This window comes from Homo sapiens, chromosome 4 (assembly GCF_000001405.40).
Source record: "Homo sapiens chromosome 4, GRCh38.p14 Primary Assembly".
Classification (NCBI taxonomy): domain Eukaryota; kingdom Metazoa; phylum Chordata; class Mammalia; order Primates; family Hominidae; genus Homo; species Homo sapiens.
This window is the reverse complement of record NC_000004.12, coordinates 47,878,996-47,904,585: the sequence shown is the minus strand read 5'-3', so window position 1 is coordinate 47,904,585 and position 25,590 is coordinate 47,878,996. Positions and strand designations below refer to the sequence as shown.

Sequence of the window (25,590 nt, the reverse complement as noted above, 5' to 3'; positions counted from 1 at the left end):
TTGGTCATGTAGAGTGAATCAGAAATTTAACATGCTCTGGTTGGGTAGAAGAGTATAGCAGATACAGATGCCTTTTGTGCCTAGAGTCACATCTAGTTGGTTTACTCTGATTTCAGCTGCAGGGAATGCATAGTCTCTGCATGCAGATAGAAACCCACTTTAAACATTTGCTGTGTGTGTGCGTTTTTTCCGCCTCTCAATTTTGTTCTTGGAAATTGACTTAGCTAGTACATGGGTATAGTGCAGAAGCACTGGGGAGTTAAAGCCCCTTGCAGCAACATTGCACCACAGGGAGTTGGTAGGTGAATGCCCCAACCTCCTTTCCATTAGCGAGTGGGGCTGGGCAGTCCAAGGCGTGTTTTACATGGTTTTACAGAGGGTCCCCTGGAGGATTGAGCTTCTGTGGCCCTTAGTGGTAATCAGCTCAACCATATGCCATTCATTGGTTATTTCTTTTTCCCTGTCTAGTCCCCTTACTCCTGCATCCAAGTTCTTAGATACCGCTTTGGGGGTAACCCAAACTAAGAAGTCGGCTGTTTAATGCTGTTGTTAGCTCATGCGATATGCTACATGTCTGATTTTATCAAACAGTTGTAAAATGTTATAAGGAAAGGGGAACTGATTTTTATCAGTTTTATCAAAGTGTTTGGCAGGTTTTAAAAATTAATTTAGTATTATTTCTTAAGCTTTTAAATTATGTATATTCTTGTTTTTTGATTACCTAATTTTTAGAATTTAGCATTAGTTAGGTGTTAGACTAATAGGTTTTATATAACAAAAGGGCTGTGTAGAGATATATGTACATATTTATGTTTAAAGATTCTTTTGTAGTGTTATTTATACTTGGAAATAATCATCCAACAAGAAATTTAAGTACGTAAGTCTACATGGTGTAATGTATAGCTATAAATATGCTTATAGAAAAGACTATAAAGTTACATTTCAGTTATTATAGTATGACCTCATTTTTTAAAAGTATGAAAAAAATATATATATATAAATTTGGAGATTGTCCAGAATGTTAGCAGTAATTATTTCTAGCTGAATGAATCTGTTTGACTAATAATAATTTTCTTCGAAGTATCCTACATTTAAATGCATTTCCCATGAAACAGTTCTTCTGTTATACTGGAAGGAAAGACCTTTTTTCTTTAATCCTTAGGTAGCTCTTGAAAATAGTTTAGTGTGATACTCATTTTAAATTATTTTACAATTAACAAAGAAAAATTAACATATATTAACTTCTGATACATTTGTCTTAGGTTTGGAGCTGTTCGGGATGTTTCTGTATATTTCACATGCCCTGTATCCAGAAGTGGGCTAAAGACAGCCAGTTTCTTGTATCTTCTGTGACTGATGATGATTTTGGAAAGAAAGATTGTCCCTGGCCTTGGTAACTTTTTCTAATTAGTTGGATTATTATTATTATTTTCAGATGGAGTTTTGCTCTTGTCACGCAGGCTGGAGTGCAGTGGCGATCTTGGCTCACTGCAACCTCCACCTCCTGGGTTCAAGAGATTCTCCTGTCTCAGCCTCCTGAGTAGCTGGGATTATAGGCACCTGTCACTATGCCTGGCTAATTTTTTGTATTTTTAGTAGACACAGGGTTTCACCATGTCTGCCAGGCTGGTCTTGAACTCCTGACCTCAGGTGACCCACCCCAAAAAATCCCAAAGTGCCAACTAGGCTGGCACGCCACCACGCCTGGCCTAATTGGATTATTAAATTGTAGAATAAATGAAGATTGTAGATTCTAAGTTGCTTTATTGGTGGTTTCAATATCCATGTTGGGCTTTTAATTAGTCATTTGGTGTGTGAAGATGTGGAATCTTGATAAAGTCTTGTTTTTTTCAATTTGAATTTCTATAACTACTAGTTCCTTTTGATAACTAATAAATCATCCAGACTTAATTTTTCCTGTGCAAAACAATTCCTTAATTATCCTTTGAAAGGACTTTCAATTTTCTTTAGGACTGAGAATCATTCATAATTGTGATCTTCTTGTCCAGAATTCTATGAGTATGCATTATTATTACATTGTACAAGACTATCATTTAATGTATTTTGATTATAAGATTCCCAGTTTTATCCTCCCAAATCTCAAAACTGCAGGTGTATATTATACAATATCATTTTTTTACATTTATTAGTTTTGCTTATTATTGATGATTATTTGATCTGGAGAACTTTTGTTATATTTCCAGAAAGAGTTGGAGAGTAGAATTTTATATCTCTGCTAAGTAAAGACAATAAGAAATTTATTCATATTGGCTGCCCAGAGAGGTAGATTGACTGTCAAAGTAATGAAGCATAAGCTTCATGGGCTCTGTGTGGTCACATTTTGTAACTTTAGTAACTAATTTTATGTTTAAATTTTTTTTTTATTTTAATTTTAATTTTTTTTGAGACAGAGTTTTGCTGTATTGCCCAGGCTGGAGTGCAGTGGTGCGCTCTTGGCTCGCTGTAGCCACTGCTTGTCGGGTTCAAGCGATTCTCCCGTCTCAGCCTCCAGAGTAGGTGGGATTACAGGTGCCTGCCACCATGCCTGGCTAAGTTTTGTATTTTTAGTAGAGATGGGGTTTCACCATGTTGGCCAGGCTGGTCTTGAACTTCTGGCCTCAAGTGATCCACCCACCTTGGCCCCTCAAAGTGCTGAGATTACAGGCATGAGCCACTGCGTCTGGCCAGTGGTGTAGTTTTTAAAAACATTTAGATGTGCTAGTTACTTTTAGAAGAGTATGTAAAAATAATTCTCAGCAATCTGTGAGAGATTTTATTCTCCTGTTACCAGTGGGGATATTGAAGTTAATTGAAGGGAAATGACTTCTGACTCCTCACTCTTAAGTAGTGGAGCCAAAATTTGAAACCTAGGATTTCTTACTTTTAAATTCAGTGCTTTTTCTATTCTTCCACCTGAGTTATCTCTTATGACCTGGCTTTTAGAAATATTATTTTTCTTTTCATTGAATACACACTTTTTGGAAACTGTTTAACATTTCAAAGTATATTTGTTTTGCTCCTGCATATTATTTACTGGTGGTGGAGGAATTTTAGTGTCTAATAGGTACGGAATTAAGCCAGGTTTTAGTTTAGAGATTTAAACCTTATGTATATATTTTTTTACCCTCGCTCTTCTCACTTCTGTTTTAAGTAGTCGTTTTGCCACAGAGGAGGAAAGGATCAGTTAAAAAAAATGTACTGTTAACTTCTAATTTAAAAGGAACAACAGTTTAATCAGCTGTGCCATATACTTTGCATTCCATATTTCATATTTTTTTAAGAAAATAAATGACCATTCTGGTTAAGAACCCATTTTGTTTAATCCTCATCAAGATGGAGCTAGAACTTGGTAAAATGTTAATAATTTTAAGTTATTTTATGGAAATAAAAAATTTAAAATATAGGTTTCTACTAAGATACTGCTTTTTAATGAAGAAGATCTAGCATAATTACATTTCATTGTTGGCATCCCATTATTTAAAATAAAACTCATGCGTTTGCACATATTACCCTCACTGGGCCAGTTCAGTTTCAATGCTGATGGGCAGTGTTAAGGTATGTTGAGTTGCCTATTAGTCATCCATACCCACGCTTATTAAAAATACATATCCCCCTCCACACTAGCTTTTTCTTTTAATAAAAAAAAATTGAACTCTTCCAACAAAGCGCCAGTTACTTATTCCACAGACAGATGAACTTAGTATTTTGTTTTTGATTTTTCATTACAAGAACAAATATCTTTTGGTTATTTTGAGTATTTATGTGGCATTTATTTGGAAACAGAACATGTTCTCGTGACAATGAAAATATTTTGTATATGATACAAAAGAAATTTAAATGTTAATATGAAACTTGTTCTAGCATAATATACTAACTATACTCATTTGGGAGTTAAGGTTAGAGCATCTTTTGAGAATGAACTGATCTATGATGATCTACAAGTATATTTTTGATAGAGCTGAAGGTTAACACTTCTACTGCCAACACTTATGTATTTTAATGATGGAAGTTTAAAGTCTTTCATGGTATTTGAACTTTTCTTTGACTTAGGCACATTCGAATTATATCTTTTTTTGGGCTGGGCACAGTGGCTCACGCCTGTAATCCCAGCACTTTGGGAGGCCAAGGCTGGTGAATCACTTGAGGTCAGGAGTTAAGACCAGCCTGGCCAACATGGCAAAACCCCGGATCTACTAAAAATACAAAAAATTAGCTGGACGTGGTGGCGTGCACCTGTATTCGCAGCTACTTGGGACACTGAGGCACGAGAATTTCTTGTACCTAGGAGGCAGAGGTTGCAGTGAGCCGAGATTGCGCCACTATACTCCAGCCTGGGTGACAGAGTGAGACTTTTTCTCAAAAAAGAAAAAAAAAAGAATTATATGTCTTTTTGTGCTAGATGTTGAGAATTATGAAATTCTTTATTTTCAAGTTTATTCCCCCTTAATTCTAAATTGTAGTCATGTTTCTTGCGGTATTGCATGTCTATACCCTGACTTCTCTCTTCTGTTTGTTGTTGCTAATATATTTTGTTTATTTGTAAACCACAAAACAAAACTTAAAAAGTTGAGCTTTGTGAAAAGCAGAGTGAATTCCTCAATAAAGTTCAGGTGGTTAGTAGAAAACTAATGTTACTTTCTTTTTGTAGCTGTATTCTAGATATGTGCTGTTTAATTCATGGTAACTAGCCACATGTAGCTGTTTCAGTATTTAGAAATTATAAGAAATTTGATTCCTTCCTCAGTTGTAAGCACTAGCCACGTTTCAAGTGCTCACAGTATGTGGCTAATTGCTACTGTATTGGACAATCCCAGTATAAAACTGTTCCATCATCTCAGCACATTGTATTGTGCAGTGCTGTTTTATATGGTTGAAATAGATTTTAATAAGATCTTGTTTTTTCACTAACACAAAGATGGAGCAGAGTTCCTTAACATAAAACTAATTTAACAGAATATACTCTGTTAAGTATATTTCTGTCTCTCATGTTGCTTTTAAAGGTGAAGTTAGCTTTAATAATTTTCTTCTTCTTTGTAGTCCAAAATGTAGGTTTGAATACAAACGATCTGAAACACCTAGTAGGTACTATTGCTATTGTGGAAAAGTAGAAGATCCACCTTTAGATCCGTGGCTTGTGCCTCATTCATGTGGCCAAGTATGTGAGCGTGAATTTAAACCTCCTTGTGGCCATAAATGTTTACTCCTCTGTCATCCAGGTGAGTTATATATTGCATTTTAAATTGTTTGTGGGTGATTATTTCTTCTTATATTGAGGCAAAAAAAAAAATTGTAAAAGTTGAATTCACAGTTTAGTTTGCCATGAGAAAATATTGAAAGTTATTGCCTTTTGTAAAGTGTCAGTAAAGAAAGTTCTAGAAATTATTGATAGGTGTAGAAATTGAAAGTTTTAGTTTCTGACTTTAGATTTTTTTTTTTTTTTTTTTTTTGCTTTTACTGAATTCTAGGTCCCTGCCCTCCTTGTCCAAAGATGGTCACAACTACTTGTTACTGTAAGAAAGCAAAACCTATCCCTCGTAGGTGCAGTGCCAAGGAATGGTCTTGTCAGCTGCCATGTGGACAGAAGTTGCTTTGTGGGCAACATAAGTGTGAAAATCCTTGTCATGCAGGTAAAAGGCCATACCCATTAGATTTTTCTGACTTTAAGCAAAAGTCAAAGCAATCTTTATTGCTTTTATGTTTCTGTGCTAATTTATCATTCTGGTTTTAGGAAGCTGTCAGCCTTGTCCAAGAGTTAGTAGACAAAAGTGTGTCTGTGGCAAAAAAGTAGCTGAAAGAAGTTGTGCAAGTCCACTATGGCACTGTGATCAAGTAAGTTTATATGCATTTTGAGGGGTGGGTATTAAAGAGTACAGAAAGCATAGACAACCTAGAAAGCAGCAAGGCTAATCAGGTTTAGTTGGATAAAAGGCAAGGAAGAATAGCAACTCAGATGAATTATATCATGTTTTAAGAAACTACTTTTAAATTTAATATCATTTTTAATTATTAGAGGAAAAATTTTTTTCAAAGTAACAGCTATTTGTTGAGTTTTGGATTCACTACATTTGTACTCTTTCTTGCTAGCTCTTGTCCCCTTCTTCTCTTTCCCCTCTCTTCAACCAGCACGCCTCCCTGCTTCTTGAATTAATCCAATTGAGGAAGTAAGATTGATTTTATAGGTTGCTTGTCCTAGAATTGGCATGGTTTTAATGCCACTTAGAACTCCTTGGTGAATGGCCATATGGAGCTGCATGTAGTTTTTTTCTGTATTGTACTTTTAAAATATACTTTTTGGTGCATAGGAAATATATGTGTGTGTATACATATGTATATATGTATCTATATATACATATGTATGACACCTGTATAAAATATAAAGTAAAATAATATGAGGGACGTAAAGCAGTTGTTTATTTGTGATTGAAAAATGGATTGTGTCTTGTATGAAGTCTTTTTTTGTTAACTTTTAAATCCTTCATTAGTGTTTATTGCATTTTATTTTAGGTATGTGGAAAAACACTGCCATGTGGTAATCACACATGTGAGCAAGTTTGCCATGTTGGTGCTTGTGGAGAATGTCCTCGATCTGGGAAAAGGTTCTGTCCATGTCAGAAATCAAGTAAGACTTGTTTTTTTTTATATTTATATAGGAAATGATCTGTCAAGCCATGAAAAGACATTCAAAAGACGTCCTCCAGGAAACTTAAGTGCATATTACTAAATGAAAGAAGCCAGTCTGAAAAAGCTACAAAATTTAAGCCCCCAACTATATGACATTCTGGAAAGGTCCAAACTGTGGTGATCAATGGCATCCAGGGGTTGGGGAGAGAGAGAGAGATGAATAGGAGAGACATAGAAGATTTTCAGGGCAGGGAAACTCCTCCGTGTGATACTATAATGGTGGATATATGTCATTATACATTTGTCCAAACCTATAAAATATACAACACCATGAGTGAACCTTTATATAAACTATGACCTTTGGGTGATTATGATGTGTCAATGTAAGTACATCAGTTATAACAAATGTACCAGTCTGGTGGGGTTTGACAATAGGGGAGGCTGTGCTATTGTCATTATTATGTAATAGGTTATAGGTGAGTTTATTTTAGGCTGCTTTGAGATAAAGGCATAGTAGGATGGCACTTTGAGTAAGCTTTTTTGACTCTCCACAAATAACAGCATCATATGTATAAGACTACTTCTAATACTTGTCACAATATGTTTATGTTACAGGTGAATTTTATAATTTTGTAGTTGTTACAGTTTTTTAAGAGAGGTGGTTTTATCCTGTCGCCCAGGCTGGAGTGCAGTGGTGTGATCCTAGCTCACTGCAGCCTCAGACTCCTGGGCTCAAGTGATCCTCCTGCCTCAGCCGTCTCAGTAGCTGGGAATACAGGCACCTGTCACCATGCCTGGCTCATTTAAAAAAATTTTTTGTAGAGATGGGCTCTCCCTATGTTTCCCAGGCTGGCCTCGAACTCCTGGCCTCAAGTAATCCTCCTGTCTCGGCCTCCCAAAGTGCTGAGATTATAAGTGTCAGCCAGGTGGTGTTTTAAAGACTAAACCTTTCTTTTTGTCTTTGTGGGGTAGTTCAGAGCAAGTTTTTTAAAACAAATTTTTACATTAGGAAAATTCATGAATGGTTTATGTAGTCTTTACTCATTTCTTTAGATAACTATTTCTGAAGTAGATAGCCCATAAAAATGTGTTTCTTGAGGATAGTAACTTGTGTCAAATTTCTTTTTAAAAACCATAAACTTCACAAATATTAGGGATTATTTTCATTAAAGTTAATTTTTCCCAATGATTATGTGGATACAAAAATTTATAGTCTGAAAGTGCTAGCATTCCTTAGGGAGCCTGAAGAACATGGCACTTTGTTGATGTTTAATAATAATGTCTCATTATTAACATTGACTTTTTGTATGTTTTTAGAGTTTTCTTTGCCTTGTACAGAAGATGTACCAACTTGTGGAGACAGTTGTGACAAAGTACTTGAATGCGGAATCCATAGATGTTCACAGCGTTGTCACCGAGGTCCCTGTGAAACATGTAGACAAGTTAGTCATCTCCTGTAATAATTACTTTTAAGAGCTACCTATCATAATGTATCAAATGAGATTGTCCTGTGGTTGTTTTCTATTACTTATTTTCATATACATCTGTGTCATGATGTATATGAATTTAGTGACCTAATATTAGGATAAGAAGCAGGAGAATACAGGCATACCACGTTTTATTGCATTTCACTTTATTGTGCTTTGCCAATACTGCGTTTTTAATAAATTGAAGGTTTATGGTAAGCCTTTGTAAAACAAGTCTTTCAGCTCCATTTTTCCAACAGTATGTGCTCATGTATCTGTCACATTTGGTAATTCTTGCACTATTTCAGACTTTTTCATTATCATTATATCTGTTTTGATAACCTGTGATCAGTGATCTTTGATGTTACTATTGTGATTGTTTGGGGGTGCCACAAACCATGCCTCTATTAGACAGTGACTTTAATGGTTAAATGTTGTGCGTGTGTTCTGACTGCTCTACTGACCAGTCGTTCCCCATTCTCTTTCCCTCTCCTTGGGCCTTCCTATTCCCTGAGAGACAACAATATTGAAATTAGGCCAATTGATAACTCTACAATGGCTTTTGTAAATGTTCAAGTGAAAGGAAGAGTCACACATTTCTCATTTAAATCAAAAGCTAGAGATGATTAAGCTAGTGAGGAAGGCAAGTTGAAAGCTGAAATAGGCTGAAAGTTCTCTTGCATCAATTAGCCATGTTGTGAATGCAAAGGAAAAGTTCCTGAAGGAAATTAAAATTGCTACTGCAGTGAATACAGGAATGTTAAGAAAGTGAAACAGCCTTATTGATGATAAGGAGGAAGATTTAGAGGTCTGCAAACAAGATCAAAGTAACTATAATATTACCTTAAACCAAATACTCCAAAGCAAGGCCCTAACTTCAATTCTGTGAAGGCTGAGAGAGGTGAGGAAGCTGCACAAGAAAAGTTTGAAACTAGCAGAGGTTGGTTCATGAAGTTTAAGGAAGGAAGCCCTCTTCATAATATAAAGGTGCGAGGTGAAACAGCAAGTGTTGATGTAGAAGCTGTCGGGTTATCCAGATGATCTAGCTAAGGTAATTGATGAAGGTGGCTATATTGAACAAAAGATTTTCAACTGAGATGAAATAGCCTTCTACTGGAAGAAGATACAATATAGGACTTTCACAGTTAAAGCTTCAAACCGTCAAAGAATAGGCTGACTTTCTTCTTAAGGGCTAATGTAGCTGATGACTTTAAATCGAAGCCAGTGCTCATTTACCATTTCAAAAATCCTAGGGATCTTTTGAATTTTGCTAAATCTAGTCTGCCTATGCTCTGCAAATGGAACAACAAAGCCTAGATGACAGCACATCTATGGACAGCACATCTTTATGGCATGGTTATAAGCCCACTCTTGAGACTGACTGATCAGGAAATATTCCTTTCAAAATATTACTGCTCATTGACAATGCACGTGGTCACCCAAGAGCTCTGATTGAGGTGTACAAAAGATGAATGTTTTTATGCCATGTCTGCCAACACAATATCCATTCTGCAGCCCATGGATCAAGGAATAATTTTGACTTTCAAGTTCTATTTTTTAAGAAATACATTTCCTAAGGCTGTAGCTGCCGTAGATAGTGATTCCTCTGATGAATCTTGGCAATGTAAATTGAAAACCTTCTGGAAAGGATTCCTCATTTTAGATGCCATTCAGAACATTCATTATAACGAGAGTAGGTCAAAATATCAACATTAACTGGAGTTCATAAGAAGTTGATCCCAGCCCTCATGGGTGACTTCGAGTGTTCAAGACTTCAGTAGAGGCCTAGACTTGAGACTTTAAAGTTGTATGTGTCATTCTGGTTTTGACCACAGTACCAAGTCCACAAGTTAGCTTACTAGATAATCTAGTTTTTTTGGCTTTACTGAGACAAGAGTTGCAGATGTTATGGTTGTAATGAAATGTAAGTGGTTTTATTATGTGATTTTTTTTTTTTTTAACTATTCAATATCAGTTTTCTGAATTTAATAACAAATTTATATGAAGTCCTTTTTGGAACAAAGTAAGATATAAGCAAATGTTTTAGGAAATTCAAATTGGTTTTTGGTAAAGTTTGTTATACAAATTTAGTGTTAAAATTTTTGTTCATTATGTTTTAATAATTGTAGAAGTTGCAATGTGAGGAAAAAATATTAACAAAAATCAATTTTAATAGCATTTCTTTTATTCTTCCAGGAAGTGGAAAAGCATTGTCGCTGTGGAAAGCATACAAAACGAATGCCTTGTCATAAACCTTATCTGTGTGAAACTAAGTGTGTTAAGATGCGTGACTGTCAGAAGCATCAATGTAGAAGAAAGGTTTGTGTATTAACCTTGGAAACCTCTGATTTAAAGACTATATTGAATTTCTCCATTTTGGGCCCAAATAAGTGCTGTCTTGAATTGTTTCTCAAATGTTCAGGCATATGCTTTCCTTTAATATATTAATAAATATTCTAGATTAAGCTTAATCTAGGTAATTTTTGTACTAGTGGGAATTGTACCAATTTTTTCAAATGAGAATAGTTTCTTGTCCTGTGCATTGTCCTCTCAGCTTGATATTTCTGATCACTATTTCTGATCACTGAAATGTATGATTTTCATACATTTTATATTTGTGTATTTTATAAACCCCAAATACATTGTCTTTACTTTTGCTTTAAATAATCAGTTATCTTTTAAAGAGCTTGAAAAAATAAGAAAAAGTAATTTTTGATATTTATCATCATACTTACTTAGGTGCTTTTCATCTTTTTGTATAGATTCACATTTCCATCACATTTCATTTTTTTTTTTCTATTCTGAAGGATTTCCTTTAACATTCCTAGTAGTGCTGGCCATGAATTCTTTCAACTTTGTATGTCTGAATATACCTTGCTTTAGTCTTTGTGAAAAATATTTTTACTTTAGAGTTCTAGTTTGGCAGTTTTTAACCCCCATACTTAAAAGGTATTGCTCTACTATCTTTTAGCTTGCATTTTTTCCAATAAGTAGTATGCTGTGATTGTTGTATCTGTTCCTCTGTACTGATTGTTTCTCTTTTTTTCTGTCTGGTTATTAAGATCTTTCTCTTTATCACCAGTTTACAGCAGTTTGTTTCTGGTGTTCCTTGGTATGGTGTTCTTTATGTTTCTTAACCTAGTTTTCATCGAGCTGCTTAGATCTGTAGGTTTATAGTTTTTATTATATTTGTGAAATTTTTGTTTTTTATTTCTTCAGATTTTTTTTTCTGTTTTCCCCTACCCGTCACCTTCTGAGACTTTAAGGACATGTATGTTATATGCTGCTTGAATTTCCAAGTTCACTGATACTATTTATTTTTCAGTCTGTTTCTGTTTTAGTTTATATAGTTTTGTCTTCAACATTGCTAATTTTCTTCTGCATTGTCTAATCTGCTTTTTATCCCATCCTGTGTTTTTCATCTGAGAAGTTGTGTATTTTCATCTCTAGAAGTTGGATTTGGGTCTTTTTTATATCTTCCGTGTTTCTCCTTAGCATGTTCATGCTTCCTCTATCTACTTGAATGTGAGATAGGCTATATTTGTAATGTCTGTTTTAATATCCCTGTGTACTAATTCTGTCATCTCTCATTTCTGAGTCTGTTTCTGTTTATTGACTTTTCTGCTTTTTTGGGGTTATGTTTTCCTGCTTCTTTGTCTGCTAGATGATTTTTGATTGTTACTAGACATGAACTTTACATTTTTGGGTGCTGGTTCTTTTTGTTTGTTTATTTGTATTTCTTTAAATATTTTTAAGCCTTATTCTGGGGCAAAGTTAAGTTACTCAAAAACTGTTTGTTCTTTCAGAGGCTTGATATTTTTAAGTGTGACCGGAACACTCTTTTGTTTAGGGCTAATTTGGCCCCATTACTGAGGCAGTAAGTCTTCTAAGTACTCTACTTGATGCCCAGGTATTAGAAGGTCCTTCTATTCTGGCTGTAAGGAACACAGACTTTTTCCCAGCCTTGTGTGATCTCTTGAAATTATTCTGCCTTCTCCTTCCAGTGGTTCTTTCTCAGCTTTTGGATTGTTTCCTCTCACACACATACAGACCAGTACTCAGCCAAAGACCCAAGAAGTTCTTTCTGGAGTTCTTCAGAGCTTTTTCTGTACTGCTGCCTTCTCTGCACAAATTCTAGCCACACTGGCCTCTCTGAACTACGAATTTTGCCTACTCAACTTTATGAGACAGCCAGATTCTGCTTATGATCTTCCTCCTTGTGCTATAGCCAGAAGTCTTCATGTGTAAGCTGATAGCATTGCAAGACTTACCTAGTTTGTTTCCCTTCTGTTAGGGACTGCCATCTGTGCTGCCTCATTATCTAATACCTGAAAACTGTAGCTTCATATCTTTTATGTGGTTTTCTAGTGGTTTGAGACAGGAGTGTAAATCTGGTTGTTGTTACTCCATCATAACTCAAAACAGAAGTGTCTATTGGCTTATTCAAGTCATGGACCACATAATCTTTTCCCCCACTGGCAAAGTGATAGGATAGGCACATAGTATTACTCAATAAACACTTGTCTAATTGAATAAACTATATTGCCTCTTTTTTTTTTTTTGAGACGGAGTCTTACTCTATCGTCCAGGCTGGAGTGCAGTGGTGTGATCTCGGCTCACTGCAACCTCTGCCTCCCATGTTCAAGCAATTCTCCTGCCTCAGCCTCCGCAAGTAGCTGGGACTACAGGCACGCACTACCATGCCTGGCTAATTTTTGAGAATAAACTGTATTGACTTAATTGCTTTTTAATAATGTACATTTTGTTTTTAGCTATTTTTATATAATGAAACTTACTCTTATATACAACCCTAAGTTTCTTTAAGACAATTGTAGTCTGTATTTCCTTTCCAAAGTTAGGTAAGTAAGAAGTTAAGGAAAGAGTTAAGATGGCAATATAGACTTGAAGTAGTTGACTGGTGTCCATGATTGAAAAATTAGGACAGGTCATAGATAGCTATATTTCTCACAGACACGGAAGTGTCTGTGAAACCAGGGAAGTGACAAAGAAAGCTGGATGCAAGTAGCCTATCTCTGCTTCTCTTCTTTAATCTCTTAATCTATGGTTTGAAAATAACTGCCAAACGAAGCCAGGAGCAGTGGCTTATGTCTATAATCCAAGTACTTTGGGAGGCCAAGGCAGGCAGATCGCTTGAGCTCAGGAGTTTGAGAGCAGCCTGGGCAACATGGCAAAACTCCATCTCTACCAAAAATACACAAACTACTGAGGTGTGGTGGGGAGAGCATGTAGAACTAGGTACTCAGAAGGCTGAGGTGTGAGGATGGCTTGAGCCTGGGAGGTGGAGGTTGCAGTCAGTCAAGACTGTGCCATTACACTCTAACCTGAGACAGAGCCAGACTCTGTCTCAAGAAAAAAAAAAAAAAGAAAAAAAGAAAAAGAAAATAAATAACTGCCAAATGAATCTATACGTTGAATTTGATTTTAATTAAATTTTTTTTAAAAACCAGACTAATTGTTTTCCTGAATTGACATTCCTTTGGTTAATGTTGTTAGTCTCTGCATAGATAAAGGAATGAAATTATCTGATGGAAATGTTTTGAATCATAGAATAATTAACTGAAAGTCAGGAAAATTTAGCTTGATTTGTTAAATTAGGTCATCATAAGTTCTTAGTGAAGTATGTTTACTTACCAGAAGAATGTTGATATTCTTGAATACTTCTTTTAGTGAAAAGTGTATCTTTTGCTTTCCATAAGTTCTGTAACTAGTAATGACATGCCTATTATTCATGGGTTTTTGAATTACCTGTTCTTTATATATTGCTTTCTCTTCAGTGTTGCCCTGGAAACTGTCCACCTTGTGATCAAAACTGTGGACGGACTTTAGGATGTAGAAACCATAAGTGTCCATCTGTCTGTCACAGAGGTAAACTTTAATAATAGCTATGATTTTATGTTTGTAGTGATGTAGTGGTTTTTTTTTTCATTGTCAATATTCAATATAATGTATTGAAATAGCGTTTTATAGTCATTATCTCACTTGACTCTCTTAACCTGGAGAAGAAGGTAAGGCAGTTTGCCAGTGTCTCTATTTTATAGGCAAAGAGGTTGAAGCTTAAGAGGGTTCAGTAACTTACTCAGGGAAATGTCTAGTACATTTGAACCCAGGATTTCTGTATATAAAAGTATTGTCCTTTCTATAACACCATATTGTTTTCCCACTTCCTGACTTTCCCCACATAATTTTTTAATCAATGAAGGTGTTCATAGCATTTTGAACACCTTATTTATTCTGAATTTTATATACTTATTTGTAGTTAAATCTAGTAAAGGATTAGATATGTCCGAAGCTGGTGATTTTTAAACATTTTGATGTCATGACCCCTTTACAATCCTTTGGTCCCCAAAGGGCTTTTGTTAATGTGAGTTTTATTCATTGACATTTATTGTATTTGAAATTAAAATAAAATGTAATAATATTTATTATTTTTTAAAAATAGCAGTAATAAACCCATTATATCTTAATACAAATAATGTTTTATGAAAAATAACTATTTTCTGAAAAAAGTAGAAAATTTTACATTTTTACAAATGTCTTTAATGTCTAGCTTAACAGAAAATAGCCGGATTCACATATATGCTTCTGTATTCAGTCTGCTATGGACATCACTTTTCACTAGCTTCTGGAAAACTATGCATGTGAGACCTTGCAGACCTCCTGAAAGGGTCTCAAGAACCACTAGGGTTCCTGGACTATACTTTGAGAATTATGTTATAAGTTATTACTAGACATTAAAAACTGAGTTAACTTCACTCATTTGGATTATGTTGATATGAAATGGAATCTACTGAGATATGGTATACAGTATTGGAAAGATCGTGGACTTAGAGTAAGAAATCCTGGATTTAAGCCTAGACTCTGCCATTTAGTAGTTTAATACCTAGAACAAACTACTGAACTGTTTCTCAGTTGATCTCCCTATCCTTTCAGAAATCCTGCAGCATATAGGGATATGTGGAACAGGCCGGGAGACTATTGGCCCAAGGTTAATAGAACTAGTCGCAGAGTCAGGATGTGAACCCAGTGTTTATGTTATTTCCATTATACTACATTCCTTCCCCATTAGGAAAAGTGTCAGATTCTATTTACCCTGTAGACATTTCCTGTAGGTGTTCTTTGATTTGTCAGTGAAGTTTAGAAATAGTTTTTCAGGTATGCTCTCACCAACACTAGAAAGATTTTATTTTCTTTTATAGTCATTACATCACTGACCCATTGAGTTTTTGCAGATTTTTGCAAACTACATCTCTGTGATATAACTGGTTTAACAGTAGTAAATCTAATATTATGTAATTTACCACATTAAAAGACCAAAGGAGGAATGAGATCATCTTGATAAATGTCTAACATCTATATAAGATAAAAATTTAATTGGAAATAGACATATCCTTAACCTGATAAAGAGTATCTGCAAAAAGTTTAGAGCAAATATCATACTTACTGGAGAAGTGTTGGAAGCATTTCCCTGTCTCATATTTTTGTGAAGCAAAGCCCATAAATATTTCAGTATTTGTCTCTAAAAGATGGATTCTTAACCTAAATGTAGTTAACATATTTCTTCATATCAGCAAACATCTGGTTTTCAAATTTCTTGTTGTCTCATAAGTAACTTCATTTTTTACATCAGTTTATAGACTCAAAAACCTAATAAAATTGACATGTTGTAATTGGTTTTGTCTCTAAAGTCTTTTAATTTATAATTTCCATCCTCTATCTCCTTTTTTCCCCTTATGACTTATTTGTTGAAGAAACTAGGTTGCTTTATTTAGTTTCTCAGAGTCTGAGTTTTGCAGATTGCATCTCTGTGGTATTATTTAACATGTTCCTCTGTCCTCTATATTTTTGATAACCTGTTAATTGGATCTAGAGGTTTGATCAGATTCAGGTTTTGATATTTTTTGGTAGAGTGGTGTTTTTTTGTTTGTTTTGTTTTTATAGATTTCTATTAATCCTTAGAAAAGCTTATTAGTCACAACAAAATTTTCCTTGATGTAAAGTATGTGGAAGATGCTGTTGTGCAACTGTCAATATTTGTTTCATCTACAGTTATAAAAGAATGTGGAATCATAATTTCATACCATTTTTCCATCATTCTAGAATCCTTCATAATCAGAATTATACAGTAATTTATAGGGGGAATATACTAACTGCATGTTTGTGTTGTGGGTATGTGAAAATTTGATTTATAGTTTTGTTTTGTTCTTTGAGACGGAGTCTCTCTCTGTCACCAGGCTGGAGTGCAGTGGCGCAATCCCGGCTCACTGCAACCTCTGACTCCCCATTTCAGGTGATTCTCCTGCCTCAGCCTCCCGAGCAGCTGGCATCACAGGCATATGCCACCATGTCCAGCTAATTTTTGTATTTTTAGTAGAGCCGGGGTTTCACCATGTTGGCTAGGATGGTCTCGATCTCCTGACCTCGTGATCTGCCTGCTTCGGCCTCCCAAAGTGCTGGGATTACAGGCATGAGCCACAGCGCCCAGCCGATTTATAGTTTTTTTTTTTAAATTCAGGATCATCTGTGTTTATAGTTTTAGAACTACCCGAATCATGCCTATTTTGGCTATTAACTGGTATTGGTCAGTATAGTTATAGTCTCCCTATGCTATTTCTTCATTTTGAAAGTATTATGGAAGCTCTTTTAATTATAATAAATTCTGTTGGTCAGTAGGGAGACTGTTTAGAGAAATTGTCCCTTATTTTCAAGATGTAATTTAAATGTGATACTGTTGTTTAGAATAACAAAAAGGTTACGTTTGATAACAAAAAGGTTCCTCTGCTGAAGATGAATGAAAAATTGTCATTGTTAAGTATAGAAACAGATATAATATGCCGAATGAGAACCGACTTAAATATCACTATCAACTTTAAAAATACAACTTGTAGTCATTCTTTAGGTAAAATAAAAATAAAACTTGATATGTGGGTTAGGATAACTTGACTTGCATTAACATCAAGAATATATGTGTCAAAACACATTTGGTGTTTTGTATAATAAATGTTATGTTTGACCCTACGATGTTTTACCTCTAATCTTCTCTTTTTCTGTGTTCATTATTTGAATTATAATTCTTAATTTGTGTTTGTTTTAGGGAACTATTTTGAACTTCTAGAGGCACTTAAGCCAGGATATTGTCCATCTTTAATCTTTTTTTTATCAGGTTAACTCCCGGTCCATGTTTTGCTTGGTCCTGACACCTAGGCAACAGTCTCTTTAAGATATTCATTTCTTCATTGAAAACTCTTCTTCCTTTATTATTTCATTTCTGATAGAGTTCCTTACTGGGAAAACTAGAGTGGAAGAAAGCCCTTAAGATGATGACAGAACCTCTTGGAGCGAACTTTATAGCCTGCTTTAAAGATTTCTTTGATTTTGTTTTTTTATATTTTTGCCAACCCATAACAAAAGAGCGTAAAAAGCTGAAACCAAAATAACATTTTTTTTTATGTTTAGAAGAGAAATATTTGGGATTATATCCTAAAATGGTGGCTTAGTACTTAGTCTTTCACAAAGCACAATTAATGGAAAATTGACTGTGCTTGCTACTAACCAATATCAGGTCATGAGAAAGAAGTTATTGGGAATTCATCTAAAAATTGTGTACTTGGATAGATGTATGAAAGTAGGCCAACGATATTATTGTTAATGTTAAATTTTCCAAAGACTTAAATCCATTTTTGCTTGTTTTAGTTTTGAATGAGTAATGTGTTAAATTTGTTATTTAGAACAGAAGTTTTAGCACATTTTAGAGAAATGTCTAAAACTTTATGAGGTACCAGTGTACAGAGAAAAAAGTGTTATAAATCAGAGGCTGGGTGCAGTGGCTCACGCCTGTACACCCAGCATTTGGGAAGCTGAGGTGGGAAGATTGCTTGAGTCCAGGAGTTTGAGACCAGCCTGGATGACATAGTGAGACCCCTCCATCTCTATAAATAATCAAAAATTAGCTGGGCATGGTGGTGTGTGTCTGTAGTCCCAGCTACTTGGAAGGCTGACGTGGGAGGATTGCTTGAGCCCAGAAAGTTGAGGCTGCACTGAGCTGTGATCATGCAACAGCACTCAGCTTGAGCAACAGGTTGAGACCCTGTTACAAAAAAAAAAAGAGAAAAGTATTACAAATAAAAAGTATACAGCTTGTTGAATTTTTACAAACTGAACATAGCCAGGTAACCAAAACTTACATCATTAAACAGAACATGACCAAAATTTTCAACACCTTCCTTGCATCCTTCATAGCTATCACTCTGATTTTGAACAGTACATTTTTTCTTGTTTACTTTATATAAATGGAATCATGCACTATGTACTCCTTGTGTCTGGCTCAATGTTTTGTGGTAAGATTCATTCATGTTGTTGTAGTTTCTTCATTCTTGTTGTAGAGTATCCCATTGTGTGAATATACTAAATTTATGTATTTTACCATTAATAGGCATTTGGGTAGTTAAGGAAACTTTTTAATTGTCAGACTTTTTTTTCAGGCAGTTGCTATCCCTGCCCAGAAACCGTAGATGTGAAGTGTAATTGTGGCAATACAAAGGTGACAGTGCCCTGTGGCCGAGAACGTACCACAAGACCACCCAAGTGCAAGGAGCAATGCAGGTGAGTTTGAAGCTTTGCACAAGCTTCCATCTGATGTTGTACAAATTTAAATTCATATTGGCTTTTAATAATTTAATTTTGCTTTAGTGTTTTAAAATATTAATATTCACAGTATACTCATTCTATATGGAATCAGAAGATATGTAAATAGATAATTGTCCTTTAGATGTAATTATTCAATGACTAAAAGTAATTTTTGAAAATTGTACTTTATGATTTAGTCGACCACCAACTTGTCATCATACAAGTCAAGAAAAACATCGCTGTCACTTTGGTTCTTGTCCACCATGTCATCAACCTTGCCAAAAAGTTTTGGAGAAATGTGGTCACTTGTGTCCTGCTCCGTGTCATGATCAAGCATTAATAAAGCAGACTGGCAGGGTAAGGGAATAATACTATTAGAGAAATAGTGCATTGCTGTGGGTTGTACTTTCTTGCTTTTACTTAGTTTTTCAATGAGCAATGATTAAGCACTTATTGGGAAGCACTGTGCTTGGAGCAGGGTACAAGGTAATCAAGACTTGATTTTGTTTTAAGCAACTCACAGTGTAGGAAAGGAGTGAAACCATTGTTTGCAAATACAGTGTGATAGTTACATTATGATCATGATACAGGTGAATTTGGCAGTCCTCCTTCATATATTGTGGTTTAGGGTTATAGATATCTCCTATAATCTTATTTTAAAGATTTATTCACTTTTTAATATTTTATTTAATATTTATTTATTTTTAGTTATTTAATTTTTTTTTTTTTTGAGACGGAGTCTCACTCTGTTGCCCAGGCTGGAGTGCAGTGGTGTGATCTGGGTCACTGCAACCTCCACCTCCCGGGTTCAGTGACTCTCGTGCCTTAGCCTCCTGAGTAGCTGGGATTATAGGTGCCTGCTACCATGCCCAGCTAATTTTTGTAGTTTTAGTAGAGATGGGGTTTCAGCTTGTTGATCAGGCTGGTCTCGAACTCCTGACCTCAAGTGATCTGCCCGCCTCCGCCTCCCAAAGTGCTGGGATTACAGGTGTGAGGCACCACGTCCAGCCCAGCCTCATGAACATTTATTGAGCCCTTACTAAATATCAAGCTTTTTTTTAGGTGCTGAGGAACAACAGTGAGTAAAATGATGGAGATTATATTCAATTGCTAGATGTTGGAGTTTCCAATTGTTTTTCTCATTTCCTTATTGGAAGTAAAGGAGGCTACACTGCCTTTGTTCTACCATTTATAAACTGGATTCTGTCTCAGTTATTAATATCAAATGTCTGTGGAGAGGAACAATTTCATTTAATACAGATAAAATGAAATATTTCAGTAAGCACAATTTATTGATTATTTGAAAAAATTTCAACCTGCTTGAGCAGAGGATACATGGAACTATTTTCTTAGATTCTTAAAATGGCCATATGATTTAATCCCTCTGACTTAAAATTCTTATGTATTTTATTTGTAGCACCAGCCTACAGGCCCTTGGGAACAGCCTTCTGAGCCAGCATTTATTCAGACTGCATTACCGTGTCCTCCATGTCAAGTTCCTATTCCTATGTAAGTATTAGAATTTCAATTAAAAAAAAAAAACAAAAAACTTTTGACATAGCTTAAAGGGTATCTGAAGTCAATCTCCCTTTTTTCTTAGTTCAGTTCATTATTATTTCAGGCCTAGCCTATCAACTAGTGTGTCTGTCTTAACCTTCATTCTTTTCAAACATGTTTGTCATACTTGCATATAAACCTACTATAGATATCTTTTTTTGAGTCTTTACCCCCAGTTGGAGTTTGATGCCCTTCTTAGCTTTCCATAGCGAGTGCATGCAATTACAAAAACAAATCCAAGGAACATCATTTGTTACTTTTCCCGATGATTCCCATACTGGATTGTAAGCTCCCTGAAGACAGAAGAAAGCCAGGTTTTAGATAAGGCAAACTTGGGGAATATTTAAAGGAAGCCTTGGAAATGAGAGGAAGTAGTTTCCTGGATGGGCCAGTGAATGACTGGGACTGAGCTCTAAGGAGCTGAACCTACAGTAATACGGAATCCTGGAATTTTTTATACTTCCAGCAGAGGTTATGGAGTATAGGGGAAAAAGCACAGAATGCTGAGAAGCAACATAAAGTTAGAAAAGGGGCTGTTGTCTACAACTGAGGTGCCAAATTAAACATTGGTATTTCTGGTGTATTGGTCTTTTAAAGAGAGGATTGTTTTTGTTTTTTAATTCTAAAAGCTTTCATTTCCACAACATTCCTCCCAGTTGAAATAGCATGTATATTTTTGTGTATTGGTCACACAGTCAAGTTGGGAGGCAAAGTGTTGTTAGGAGATATATGCACAAATAGGGTAATTTTAGTCTGTAGATTTAATGGAGGTGGGCTGTGTAGTTAGCAGAGAGGTTTTTCATGTAGGTATTCAGTTATTTGAGACTATTCTTTTACTGAGGACTTAAGTTATAATCATGAGGAACCAAGTTGTTGCTAATATCTCTAAGTTAGAATTATTAGTGGCCTAAAATTTTTCCTTGAGAGAAACAGAAGAGACATTGATATTATAATTCATAGGCACGAAAATGTTGTCATAATTACCTGAGTAATTAGGTCATAAGTACCTAATTACCATTGAGTTCCTTAGTCTGTTTTTTTTTGTTTTTTTTTCTTTGAGACGGAGTCTCCGTCACCCAGGCTAGAGTGCAGTGGTTCAATGTCGGCTCACTGCAACCTTCTCTTTCCAGGTTCAAGATGTAGCACAGCATTTGACAGAATCTGACACACTTTCTTGATAAAAACACTCAAAAAACGTGGAAGAAAAGATAATTTTCTTAACCTGATAAAGGGCATCTGTGAAAAGCCCACACAGTTCACTAATACATCGTGGTGAAAGATTAAAAGTTTTCTCCCTAATAACAGGAACAAGACTAGGATGCCTGCTCCTGCCACTTCTTTCAAGATTGTACTAGAATTTTTAGCCAGAACAATTAGGCTAGAAAAAGAAATTAAAAATGTCTTTTTACTTGGAGTAAAGAAGAACTATTTGTATTTTCAGATGACATGATCTTGTGTGTGAAAAGTCTTAAGGAGTCCTCAAAAATGCTATTAGAGTTACTTAATGAGTTCATTACTGTTGTAGAAAACATCACTATACAAAGCCAGTGGAATTTCTGTACACTGGAAACAAACAATCTGAAAATGAAATTAAGAAAACAATTCCACTTATATAGTCTGAAAAGAACATTTTGTTTAAGAAATTCAATAAAAGAATATAAGATTTGTACCGTAGAAACTACAAAATCTAAATGAAAACCTAAAGAAAAAGCGCATTAACATTTATCCCTCACATAATTAGATTGGAAGTAGAACAGCTCTATAGTTGTTTAATTTGGCTCATTCAGTCACACATCATCAAGAGCTCAGATTGTCTTTCCATTTTGTTATCCTCAGTGTGTCATCTTTGACCTCAGGCTGTTTGCCTTTCTGTTAACTTCTCAACCCAGACATGAAAGTTTCCAAAGGGAGAAATGGAAATGTGTATGCCTTCTGTGTGTCATCATCATCACCTTTTCCTTTTCTTCTTTTCTTTTTTTAAAGGGTAAGGAAACTTCTCCGAAGCTCCACAGGAGAACTCTTTTGACATTTCATTAGACCATTTTTAAGCCAGTCCCTGGAAAGGGAAATGATGTGTTTATTTTCTTAAATAGGTTTTATTTTTTAAGAATGTGTTCACATTTACAGAGAAAATTGCACAGAAAGTATAGAGAGTTCCTATGTGTGCCCCCATACCACAGTTTTCTCTATTACCAACTTTCATTAGTGATACAATTTACAGTTGAGAAACCAATATTGGTACTTTATCATTAGCTAAAGTCCACAGATTACATTAGGATTTACTTTCTGTGTTGTATGGTTCTGTGGGTTTTAACAAATGTGTAATGTCATGTATTTACTATTATAGTTTCATACAGAATAGTTTCACTGCCCTAAAAATGCCCTGTGCTATACCTGTTCAACCTTCTTTTCCCCTCCCCGTCTCAAACTCCTAGCAACCATGTATCTTTTTACTATCTCTGTAGTTTTGCCTTTTCCAGAATGTCAATAGTTGGACTTTTACAGTGTATAGCATTTTCAGACTGGCTTCTTCACTTAGCAATATGGTTTTATGGTTCCTCTGTGTCTTCTCATGGATTGGTAGCTCATTTATTTTTATCATTGAATAATAATACATTGCATAAAGGTACCATAGTTTGTTTATCCATTTACCATAGAAGAACATTTTGGTTGCTTCCAAGTTTGGCAATTAAGAATAAAGCTGCTATAAACATTTATGTTATGTGCAGATTTTTGTGTAGACATAAGTTTTCAGCTCATTTGGGTAAATACTTAGGAGTGTAATTGCTGGATCACATGGTAAGACTTTGTTTAGCTTTGTAAGAAGCTGTCAAACAGTTTACTAAAGTGTCTGAATCATTTTGCATTCTCACAACAGTGAGTGAGAATTGTTGTTGCTCTTTATTCTCACCAACATGTGGTATTGTCAGTGTTTTGGATTTTAGCCATTCTATTTTTAATTGATACATAATAATTATACATATTTATAGGAAATGTAATGCTGTTTCAGTACATACAGTGTGATATACAGTGATCAGATCAGGGCAATTAGCGTATCCATTATCTCAGACACCATTTCTTTGTTTTGGGAACATTCAGTATCCTCTTTTCTAGCTATTTGAAAATATATATTATTGTTAACTATCGTTATCTGTAACTATAGTTATAGATATCTATATCTATAGATATCCATTGTTATAGGTAACTATTGTTATCTATAGTTAACAATAGATAACAGTAGTTTTATAGCACTGTAAGATAACTATAAAACCCCAGAACTTGTTCTTCCTATCTAGCTGTAATTTTGTTTTTTAACAAATCTCTCTTATCCCCTCCTCCCTCTACCTTTTCCATCCTGTAACTATTCTGCTTTTTATTTCTATAAGATCAACTTTTTAGCTTCTACATGTGAGAACATGCAGTGTTTAATTTAACATGCAGTGTTTAATTTCCTGTTCCTTTTTGCGTTTTTTTTTTTTTTTTTTTTTTTACTCATTAATTAGGTTTACTGTTTACTATGGGCACAGTTTGTGGCACCCCAAAAGAATCCAATAGTAACATCAAAGATCGCTGATTACGGATCACAATAACAGATATAATAAAAAAGAAAAACTTTGAAATAATGCAAGAATTATATGAAAATTGTCATAGAGACATGAAGTGAGCACATGCTATAGGAAATATGGCACTGATACATGTGTTCCACATAGAGTTTCCACAAATTCTTTTTTTTTTCATTTTTATATTGCGTTATTTGCTTTCTTATTGAGTATATTTTGAAGACAAGTCCTTTACCAGCTGTGCATTTTCCAAGTATTTTCTGCCAGTCTGTGGCTTATCTTTTTAACCTTTTTTTTTTTTTTTTTTTTTTGAGACTGGATCTCAGTTCTGTCACCCAGGCTTTTCATGGAGAAGGAGTGCAGTTGCTTCATCACAGCCCACTGCAGCCTGCACCTCCTGGGCTCAAATGATCCTTCAACCTCAGCTCTACCCCCAACCCCCTAGTACCTGGGACTAGGCGTGCACTATTATGTTCAGCTAATTTTTTTTAATTTTAATTTTTTGTAGAGACAGGGATTCATTATGTTGCTCAGGCTGGGCTTGAAACTCCTGTGCTCAGGTGATCCTCCTGTCTCAGCCTCCTAAAGTGTAGGGATTACAGGTGTGAGCCACTGCACCCAGCCTTTGTGGCTTTTCATTCTCTAAATGTTCTTTTCAGAGCTGTAATTTTTAGTATAATGACGTCTATCATCCATTTTTATTTCATGGATTGTGCTTTTGGTGTTGTATCTAAAAGTCATAATTAAACCCAAATTACCCAGATTGTCTGTGTTTTATAGTTTTGCATTTTACATTTAGAGCTGTGATTCATTTTGAGTTAACTGTTGTGAAAGGCTTAGGGTCTGCCTAGGTTTTTTTTGCAAGCAGGTGTCTATTTGTTCCAGCATGAATCATTTATTGAAAAGAATTTCCTTTCTTCATTCAATTACCTTTGCTCTTTTGCCAAAGATCAGTAGACTATGATTTGTGTGGTTCCATTTCTGGTCTCTCTGTTCTCTTCCATTCATTTATTTGCCTATTCTTTAATCAGTACCATTCTGTCTTGATCACTGTAGCTTTATAGTAATTCTTGAAGTTGGGTGGTGTCAGTCTTTGGACTTTGCTTTCTTTTGTATTGTGTTGGCTGTTCTGGGTCTGTTATCTTTCTATATAGACTTTAGAATCAGTTTGTTGATATATACAAAATAACTTGCTGGGATTTTGATTGGAATCATGTTGAATCTGGATCAAATTGGAAATAAACTACATCTTAATAATTTTGAGCCTTCATAACTGTGAACATGGAATATTGCTTCATTTATTTAAATCTTTGATTTCTTTCATCAGTATTTTGTAGTTGTCCCATAGAGATCTTGTATATATTTTGTTAAATTCATACCCAAGTATTTCATTTTTTGTGCTAATGTAGTGTTATGTTTTTAACTTCAAATTCTAATTGCTCATTGCTACTATATAGGAAATCAGTTGACCTTTGTATATTAACTTCGTGTCCTGTAACTTTACTATAATTGCTTATTCCATATGTATTTATTTTTTTAATGCTAGTAGAGTTAGCATCTTTAGGTATTATTTTTGAATAATTTGTAATGTTTTCATTTTATTTTATTTTTTCCTTGTAGGGAATGTCTTGGGAAACATGAGGTAAGTTACAGGCACAATTTTTAAGTAAAGCTTATAATCTATACTGTTACATACTAGTATAACTTTACTAGAGTTGTTAGAAATAACAAAGTCAAAGTAT

General features: G+C 34.9%; 1 protein-coding gene and 1 long non-coding RNA gene across 6 annotated transcripts in view; one reads left to right on the top strand and one right to left on the bottom strand.

Annotated features, from left to right (window-relative positions):
- The window catches only part of NFXL1 (nuclear transcription factor, X-box binding like 1), a 67,435-nt gene that overhangs the window by 10,082 nt on the left and 31,763 nt on the right, over positions 1-25,590 (top strand). For all 4 annotated transcript variants that reach the window (NR_103795.1, NM_001278623.1, NM_152995.6 and 1 more), the window contains exons 5-16: positions 1,263-1,393; positions 5,038-5,216; positions 5,466-5,627; positions 5,729-5,829; positions 6,505-6,619; positions 7,939-8,063; positions 10,284-10,406; positions 13,883-13,973; positions 18,587-18,707; positions 18,929-19,088; positions 20,149-20,240; positions 25,469-25,490. Coding sequence is in view for 3 of the 4 variants with exons in the window: in NM_001278623.1 (NP_001265552.1) it covers positions 1,263-1,393; positions 5,038-5,216; positions 5,466-5,627; positions 5,729-5,829; positions 6,505-6,619; positions 7,939-8,063; positions 10,284-10,406; positions 13,883-13,973; positions 18,587-18,707; positions 18,929-19,088; positions 20,149-20,240; positions 25,469-25,490 (1,422 nt within the window). In the remaining variant the exon portion in view is untranslated. The remainder of the gene's footprint in view (positions 1-1,262; positions 1,394-5,037; positions 5,217-5,465; positions 5,628-5,728; positions 5,830-6,504; positions 6,620-7,938; positions 8,064-10,283; positions 10,407-13,882; positions 13,974-18,586; positions 18,708-18,928; positions 19,089-20,148; positions 20,241-25,468; positions 25,491-25,590) is intronic.
- LOC101927179 (uncharacterized) overlaps positions 7,738-25,590 on the bottom strand; it is a 65,504-nt gene continuing 47,651 nt past the window's right edge. For both annotated transcript variants that reach the window (NR_125880.1, NR_125881.1), the window contains exon 3: positions 7,738-8,044. This is a non-coding gene — a long non-coding RNA (uncharacterized LOC101927179). The remainder of the gene's footprint in view (positions 8,045-25,590) is intronic.